Raw genomic sequence first — 10,041 nt, forward strand, 5'->3', positions numbered from 1 at the left:
TCTTTGCATGCTTCAAGCAGTAGCTCTCAGTAAGAGAGAGGACTGGGACATAGTACAGGACAAAAGCCCATGTCTCGGACCATTTTGGGGGTTGGTTTTTCAACCTTCAAAGATTCTGTCCCTTTTTAAGGATAAATAATATATTTTGTATATTAAAGCCACACTTTAACAGACTATATTATTCATCCTTAAGGAGGGACAGAATTACCAGCTAGGCAAGACAGTAAAATTTAGTGTTGAGGAACTACATCCAACATTTGTAGTAATCCCAACTCAGTGCACAACAATCATCCAAGTATTTTTGACTATCTAGACATATTAAGTCGGCTTTTATTTATTGAGCATTCATTATATAACAGAGTTATTATACCACTGTAGGGTGTGGTAGAAAGTTGAATAAACAAACAAATGATTACACATCTATTATATTTCAAACTTGGTGCTGGGGCAGTTTTACATACTATGTTAGTCAATTCTTATCAAAAAGCTATGAATTTTTTGTTTTTGTAGATGAGGAAACATTCAGAAATATACAACACACAGTAAACTGGTATTCAAATTTGGGTTTTCTGATTCTAAACCTAGTGCTTCTTCTATAAGAAGAAAGTTTCTAACTTTAATGAACATATTATCTGGTTTAAGAATCAGACTTGTACACAGAGTATAAGATCAGGTAAAATAAGATATATAATCATAGGAAAAGTATTTTAAAAATCTGCATATCAACACTTGGCTGTACTAATATTCAAGTTCCAGCATTGCGTTAAAAGCTATCCAAATAAGTAGAATCTGGAAGGAAGTGAGGGGAGCAACAACCTTTCTCCCCAAAAAACAAAAGATTCAAAAAATCAATGATTCTTTGAATGTACCTTCAATCTCTGGGTTCAGCAACGAAATCCTGCATTTTAAAGGACTTTGGGAGTTACGGTAAGTTATTTTAAAATGGATGTTCATTGCTTTGGATTTTTCAATTGCTAATAATTCTTACTGGCAATCCACCAAAGTACACTGGCCTTTTCCCTTGTTTTTTGTAAACCAGGGAGGCTTTATTCAGTAAATAAAGGTCAGACAGAAGGGTCGGGGACAAGCAATCTTGATGTTTATTAGTTGATTAGGCAAGAGTCGAAAAGTAAGGGTCTATCAAGGAAATAGACCCAACGGAGTAAAAATCACAGGCTTTGGCCCCTTTTCAATAATAAACTATCTGCAACACACTGCACAACCAATGTGTTGTGATACTATAGTTGAAAACTGTTGTTTTAATGCATGACAACTGTCCACACAAGCCCCTGAAATGAAACTAAATTGGTTTTCAGGACAGTAGTTACAGAATAACTCAACTAAATGAGTTCTTACCCTCCCTGAAAGTTCTTACCCTTCTTAAATTTAGTGTGTTCCCATAGAATGTCTCTCATTAAGACTTTAGGTAATTGTATCTTAGACACTATAAAGCGATCATATCATTTATGTGCTGTTGTCCCTACACAAGCTATATAAAATTATTACCACACTTTACTGTTATTGTACAACAAATGAACTCAGGGCTCTTGTAATCCTGAAATTATGCAAGTATAGTTCCAGGAGGTAGTGTGGGACAAAGGTATCATATAAAGTAGAATTTTAGTTGTAGTACCACAGTATCCTAGGGGGTTGTGATCAGTTAAGAAATATGTTGCAGGCAATTTGTTACTAAATCAGTTAATTCAAAAAAACAAAACAAAAACAAAAACAAAAACAAACACTTCCCTGAAAAATAAATCAGAGCATATCCACACTTTAGAGTTCCCATATGCTTTAGAATAAAATATCAAGGGGCCAGTCAACCAGCAACCAACATGTTATCCCTAACCATTTTGTCATGTAGGGTCACAGAAAAACAAAGTCGAATTGCTTGAGTAGCACATTATGGGCATTGCTGTGTGTTTATACTGGCAATCTAGCAGAAGTGATACAAATTTCAAAATAATGATGAAGAAATATGACCCTATAGTTAAGCAAAGGAATTGAGAATATGAGCTTCCCTCTTCTAATAGCTCAGTACCTTTGCAAATACGTGTGGTTTCTTAACTTAAAGTCCTCCTTTCTCCCTCCTTTTTAATTGTCTGGGTCAGGGAAAATTTCAGTTGCTATCATTAGTATCATATTACTCTGGTTCCAATGAAACATTGGGTGAGGTTCAGTCAGGATTACTACGTTGGGTGTTTAGTGTTAGGATACTATAAATCAGGGCTTGGCAAACCATGTGTGGGCCGAATCCAACCTGCTGCTACTTGTTTATGTACAACCTTGCAAGCTAAGAGTGGCTTCTTTCTTCTTTTGAAGCTTGCCCACAGCTGAGGAGATGGTTTTTACCTTTTTAAATGGTTGTAAAGAAAATCAAAAGGACAATGATATTTTGTAATACATGAAAATTATATGATATTCACATGTCATTATCCATAAATAAAATTTGATTGGAACACAGTCAGTCTTATTCAGGACCATCTATGGCTGCCTTTGGGTTACAACAGCACGGTTGAGTGGTTGCAACTCTCACTGTATGGCTTGCAAAGCCTAAAATATTTACACTCTGGCCCTTTATAGAAAATGTGTTCTGCCTTAGGGTGGGAAGTGAGACGGTTATTCATCCTCCCCTATCTTCCTTACAATAGCTCCTTCCTCACTCCCAATGGTGTAAAGTGTAGAAATGCTTTTCTATTTGTATAATTTTATGGGGTACAAGTGTAATTTTGTTACAACCAAAGATTGCACAGTGGTGAAATCAGAGCATTATTAATCCTAATCATGTACCTTTTATCCATTAAACAATTTATCATCATTCACCTACTTGCTACCCCCTCACCTTTCTAAACCTCCAGTGTCTGTCATTCTACTCTCTACGCCTATTTGTGCACATTATTTAGCTCCCACTTATAAGTTAGAACATACCATATTTGTCTTTCTAGAAACAGTTTTAAAAGTATAAACTTTCTATGCAAATGTAAATATTTATCTTAATTAGTCCTTTTTTCATCATCCCAACTGAACCTACTTCAAAGTGAGCAGTGATTGCAAAAGAATCGGAGAACATTTGATGCCTTTCCTGCAGCATGAGCTTAGGAGTTGTGTGCTCAGGACTTCATTACCTCAGGTGGTCTGAGTGCAGATGACTGATGTAAATGAGGTCTGCCTGGCACAGCCTCTCCAGCCAATCAGATGGAGGCTCATGGAGCAACCACCATCCACGGGCAAAAGCAGGACCGATTAACCAAGGGTCAAACACCATTCTCTTGTCTCCTAACTTGAGGTCCATGCAGGCATGAGTGAGATATGTTATCTGTTAAAAGAGAGTGAGATCCCTATTACTGAATCGTTCATTACTGGTCAGCAACAATGAACTGAAATGTTTGGTTTGGGTGGCTGACATAGTACACAGGCTGGAGTACTTTGCTTCTAAGCATGATCAGGCAAAATCTTGGACTCAAATACATTCCAAAAAGAGCCTTTCATAGAACACGGTTCCCAGCACAGGTCATGACTTTATTCAAATATAAATTCTCATGGTTAGTTTTAGATGACAAATCAATTTGTTTACCTAGTTTTAGTTTATTTAAATTAGTTCCTAAACAGTTATTTACAGTCCACACTGAAGAATATATTTTGTGATCAGTCCTTTAAAGCATACTTTACAAGGAAAGGCAGTTAGAGATGTTATCACAAACATCTGGGGATTTAAATGCCAGAGTGGCTGTGAAGAGCAATATGAATGGATGATTCTCGTGAGTTTGGTGGGTTGGCATAGCCACGCAGACTCAACTGACAACTGGCTGAACAGGCTTGCAAGACTTTCTCTTCTAAATTACCTGTTAAATAATTACTCCTTCTGGATGCCAAGGTCCTCTAAGAATGGACACAAACAGTGACTTAGAGACTGGCACCATGGGGATTCCAAATCCAATTCCTCATTCTCTTGCCACAGCCTGGCACCTCCATGGAAAAGGAATGTATTGAGAAGCAGAGATGAGATAGCGGGAACGTCATGTGAAAAGGCAACAAAGTGGGTGAGGAAAGGTCAAGGCATAGATTAGTTTTTATTATGTCTATTCCGGGCAGGTTCTCATTTGTTTCCTTAAAATTAGCTGCCCAAATATACATAAACTTCCTAAATACACAGAAAAATAAATTTTTGATTGTGTACCTCTCCCAAACTATTAAAGTGTTTCCTCTGAAGGAAATTCTCTTCTAAAGCCAGAAAATACAACCAGCCATTCTATCCAGTAGTGATCTGGCATCAAATAGTTTTGCATGAGTTTCCTTAGGGATTTTTCCCAAAGTTTTGTATTGTTTTTTTCCTTGTAATCCCTGCCAAGTTCTGGGGGTTCCTTAAAGAATTTGTTTTATCATATGACTTTTTACCATATGTCCTAAATACCCATCTCAAACAGTATTCAAGGTAATATAGGATGTTTACAGATATAGATGTTAAATGGACATCTTGGTCACGTTTTTGTTTTTAATAATATTATCCTTTTAATATTTCCTTACCTGTACTTCTCCAAAAGCCAACTCTTCAGGAGATCTGGGCTGTAAGTCCCAAGGGTTAGGAGGATTCAGTTCTAAAAGCAAAAGTCCGTTGTTTTCATCCATTTCAACAACTAGAATCAAATGAGAACAAATCTGGATTAATGACAAAAATGGCTTTTTAAAAGCATCACTGAAATAGGAATGCATGGTCTTCCAAAGATCAAAGGAAAATCAAAACAAAGGGTGCCACTCCCTTAGATCAAGCAATATCTGCAGAGACTATGACTTAAGATGAACACCAATTCATTTCTTTATTCATATGGCACTTAGAGAACTTATGAGGTCTCAGTCATGTCAGGGATACACATATACAAACAAGACTTCCTTACGACTAAATGAATGATTGATAGAGATGACTTCGAGGCGCTATGGGAATGCACAGGGAGGGGCATCTGATCTGCAAAAATGACACACATTCAGTAGAAACCATACTCTGAATTTTTATCTTTTCTGGGCTAGTGATACACAGTAAGATGCTGGGCAGCGGTAGCGGGTGCAGCTCCCAGTCAGCCATGTGCAATCACAAGGGTAAACACCAGATACTCTACAGTGGACCATGTTGCCAGGTGATTGTGCCCAACTGCAGGCTAATGTACATGTTCTGAGTATGCATACAGCATGTTAGGCTAAGCTACGATGCTTGGTAGGCTAGGTGTATTAACTACATTTTGACTTACAGTACTTTCAACTTATGATGAGTTTATCAGGACTTCACACCATGTGTAAGTTGAGGAGCATTTGTATACAATTCTGCTAATTAATTATACCTCAATAAAGCTGAGGGAATAGAGAATAGCTATCCTGAAGCCCCATTCAAAAAAGTGATTACCTCCAGAGCATGGGTGGGAGGATATGTGATATAATCAAGGAAAGATATATATTCTGTTGTTAATATTTTATGTCTTAAGCTGGGTGCTGGGTACATGGGTGTTCACTTAATTTTTAATACCTTTTAAACATTGCTTAAGAAAATGTAATAAAAATATTTTTCTTAGTCATAACTATCACCTTATTTAATGGTGAAACACAAATGGCTTTCTTAATAAAATCAGGAATACATAAAGAATGCATTATTGAACGATGTTCCTGAAAATGCAAGTGGTATAATGAAGGTACATATTATTATTTCAAGGTTATATGATTGTTGAAAATTAGAGTCATGAACTAGAAAAAATGCTGGCTTTGGGAACATGTGGGTGGGAATCCTATTTCTGCTGCTTATTAGCAGTATCCTGAGCCTCAGTTTTCTGATCTATAAAATTATGATACATAACTTCATAGAGTTGTCGTGGAGGTTAGATGAAATAATAGATACTAAAGTGTCTAGCACCATGCTTGGAACAAAGCAGGCATTTAATAAATAATAGTATTATTATGGTCATTATTTTATACTTAAAGGAATATATAGAACTTTAAAAGTTCATTGTAGGACAAACAAACCTATATACTAGCAAACTCGTTAGAAAAATACAATTGTATTATGGGAGACCCTCAGGAAACTCTTGCACTGATAGCTACCCCTTCTTAATTTTTCTTTTTCAAGAGATGCAGAAAAAAATAAGTCTGTAATTCTTCACTTGATCTTAGCCAAAAGGCCAAGAAGCAATTGTAACTCTTAATCATCGTTCTGAAGCAATTACCATAAAGATCGCTATGCTCCTTGCACAAAGATAAATTGCATAGATGCAACGAAGAATGTGACATCTGCCAACTATTATAAATAAATTCATGAGAATATAGTATTATTAATTTGACCTTACAAGCTGATAAAATCTAGGTCATTTGGGTTATAATTTTATCCAGAAAAAACAAACAAATGGTAGTCCCTAAAATCTTTTTTAAGGAAGAATAATGAAGGCGAAATGGAACAAAAATATACCATAAAACTATAATAATCAAATCACTGATTATTGACATTAGGTCAGCCAAAAAGTGGATCCTAATTATGTTAACTGTTTATTCTAAAGAAGGTATCATAAATATGTGGACCATCTAACATGGTGCTGTGGCAATTAGTTCTCTAAGTATTCTAGTTGATTAAGGACACAAAACGACCAAGCCATGAAAATGTATAAAATAGAATATCAAATATGAGAGGACTTTTAAATTTAATAGCAATGGAAATAATCCCAGTGGAAAATCTGAATAGATACAAATGTAAAATGAAAAACTTCTAACACCAAAACAATTTAGCAAACACATTTTGCCAAACTATATTTAGTGAAATATTAGCATCATATTTGACAGAAAAATGCAAGTAAAAACAATGAGATGCAATTTTTGCCTCAAATGAGAACAGTCTGAAAGACTAAGAATGTTCTGAGCTGGTAAGGTATGGGGAGAAAAGGCACGCTCATAAACCAGTCAGTGGGAGCAAAAATTTGTCAGTGCCAAAGAATGGATGGTAATGCTATACATATTAAAGAAGGCACATATGATGAACTCATTCATTCATTCATTCATTCGTTTAGGACATCAAGTGGAAAGGGTTGTGTTAGTCATACTTTCTAGTTCATGACATGTATCTGATCCATGCAAAGCTCTTTTCTTTTTAATCTTATTTATTTATTCCCTTTATCTCTAGTTCCCATTCTCATTTTCCTCCCCTCCAAGGTGCCATTCTAAATGTTTGTGCAAAATATGTATTATATTGTGTGTGTGTGCATTTTTAATTTATATAAATGGCATTAGGTCTCCAATCTGTTTCTTACTGTTTTTCACTCAACACTATGATTTTGACACCCATGATGTTGCCATGTGTACATCTAGCCCACATCTAACTGCAGTTGAGTATTCCACGGTTCATGTCTACCACATTTTACAAATTCACTCTCCCAGGGGTAGACTCCTAGGTTCTGTCACAACAGAATTTCTTTGAGGTATAAACAAGAGCAGGATTTATGGATCCTAGTATGTTCATAAACCTCATCAGAAGCCAGGTACAGTGGCACATGCCTGTACTCCCAGCTTCTAGAGAGGCTGAGATAGAAGGATCACTTGAGCCCAAGAGTTCAAGTCCAACCTGGGCAACATAGCAAGTCCCTGGCTCTAAAAACAAAACAAAATAAAAAGAAACAAGAACAACAAACAAAAAACTCATCTGGCTAGTTACTGCCAGATTACTCTTCAGAATGGCTGCAACAGCCACACTCCCATCACATGGATGAGGACTTCTACGTCTCTGACGTTTGGCATCATCTTAGCTTCTAGCTTTTTACTACTCTAAATGATGTAAAGTGAAACTTGCTTGCTTCACTTGCAGTTTTCTGATTACTACTTAGTAAGTATCTTCATATGTTTAATAGCCTTTGGGTTTATTCGGTAAAATGCTAGTTCATACTCTTTCTTCCCTTTTTATTTTTCTGTCTTTTTCTTGTCAATTTGCATTACTTCCTACTCTATGCTTGATATTAATCCCTTGTTGATTATAAACATTGCAAAAAACTCTCAAATTGTCATTATGTCTTTCAATTTTGTCCATGGTCTCCTTCATTAAGCAGAAATCTCATGTTAATAAAATCATATTCGTCCATATTTAAAATTTTTGTTGCCCTATGAGCTGTACTTTTGAAGTGTTATCCAAAGAGTGAAGAAGTGCCACCCTATCTCTAGATTGCAGAAATATACTCCTATATGTCTTCCATTACTTTCACATTGAGGCTATTGGGCCATGTGAAGCCCACCTTCAGGCTGAAGTATATGAAGGTTGGTGGTGAATGCTTTAATTGCCATACTATTTTACCAGTAATTCAACTACCTTATGAAACAACTCCAAATACAGAGAAGCTCTTAAACGCAAAAATACCAGTTTTAATTTTAAATAAAACTATGATGATCTTAAATTCTAACAGAAAAATGGCTAAATATATTAGTTAATATTTAATGTGAACATAAAATTATATGTGCATAGAATCTGACATTATGTCTAATATCATAATATTCACAAGATGCAAAAATGGTTTACATAAAATAACTGTTTGAAAAATTAAGTCTAACAAGAAAACTAGAGAACAGAACAGTTAGATGGAAGATTAACAGGGAATAGAAGACTTGAACAACACCATAAACTGACTGTACCTAATAGACATACAGAGAACACTTTACCTTGGGCCATAAAACAAGTGGACTTTATGCCACACTGGTTCAATATTTGAAAGATGCAAGGCTGATTCAACATTTGAAAATCATTCAATGTAACACACTGCATTAACAGAACAAAGAAGGAAACCACATCATCATCTCAATTGACACAGAAAGGGCATTTGAAAAAAATCCAACATCCTGTTGTCATAAAACACACTCAGAAAACTAATAGGCCAGGCGTAGTGGCTCATGCCTGTAATCCCAGCACTTTGGGAGGCCAAGGTGGGTAGATCACTTGAGGTCAGGAGTTTGAAACCAGCCTGGCCAATATGGTGAAACCCCGTCTCTACTAAAAATACAAAAATCAGCTGGGTGTGGTGGCACGTGCCTGTAATCCCAGCTACTTGGGAGGCTGAGGCAGGAGAATCTCTTGAACCTGGGAGGCGGAGGTTGCAGTGAGCAGATATTGCGCCACTGCACTTCTGCCTGGGCAACAGAGCCAGACTCCGTCAAAAAAAAAAAAAAAAAGGCATCTAAGAAAACCTGACAGCTGTTTTCCCCCTAAAAGCAGGAACCAGACAAGCAGTTTCCTTGGCTAAAACCTCCATTTCTACATGGAGGCAACTGAACGGGAAAATGACATAAAAGGTATCCAGTTTGTAAAGGAAAAAGATAACTGTCTCTATTCACAGATGACACAATCTTGTATATAGGACACCCTAAGATATCTACAAATGAAACTATTAAAACCTTCAAAGGATACAAGGTATTTTGAAAATCAGCAATATTCTATACGCTAGCCGTTAATTTTTAAATAAAATTTACAAACAATTCCATTTACAATAGCATCAAAAAGAATAAAATACTTAGGAATAAATTTAATCAAAGTAGTATAAAACTTATACTCTGAGAACTACAAAATATTGTTGAAAGAAATTAAAGAAGACTTAATAAATTAATAGACATTCCATGTTCATGGATCAAGACTGAGTATTGATAAGATGGTAATACTCCCTAAATTAATCCACAGTCAACACAATTTTAATCACAATTCTGGCTGCTTTCCCCCCCCATACCTCACCCCCTGGGAATTGACAAGCTGACCCTAAAGACTCAAGACAAGCTGGCCTAGAGTAACTAAACTATCTTTAAAAAGAAAATAAAATTGAAGGATTCACAATTCCCAATTTGAAAAACTTACTACAAAGCTACAGTAATCAAAATGTGTGGAACTGGCAGAAGGATAGACATATAAATCAATGGAATAAAGAGTCCAAAAATAAACCCTTATATTTATGATCAATTGATTTTTCAACAAAGATGCCAAAACAATTCAATAGGGGAAAGAATAGTCTGTCAGAAAATGGTGCTGCAATTCATCCACATGCAAAAGAA

General features: G+C 36.0%; 1 pseudogene across 2 annotated transcripts in view; it reads right to left on the reverse strand.

Moving 5' to 3' along the window:
• The window catches only part of CMAHP (cytidine monophospho-N-acetylneuraminic acid hydroxylase, pseudogene), a 57,326-nt pseudogene that overhangs the window by 29,400 nt on the left and 17,885 nt on the right, over nucleotides 1-10,041 (reverse strand). For both annotated transcript variants that reach the window (NR_002174.2, NR_027626.1), the window contains 2 exons: nucleotides 4,525-4,634; nucleotides 3,126-3,316 (listed from right to left, as the gene is read on the reverse strand). The product of NR_002174.2 is annotated as a cytidine monophospho-N-acetylneuraminic acid hydroxylase, pseudogene, transcript variant 1 (transcript). The remainder of the gene's footprint in view (nucleotides 1-3,125; nucleotides 3,317-4,524; nucleotides 4,635-10,041) is intronic.

The sequence above is a fragment of the Homo sapiens genome, chromosome 6 (genome assembly GCF_000001405.40).
Source record: "Homo sapiens chromosome 6, GRCh38.p14 Primary Assembly".
NCBI classification, from domain to species: domain Eukaryota; kingdom Metazoa; phylum Chordata; class Mammalia; order Primates; family Hominidae; genus Homo; species Homo sapiens.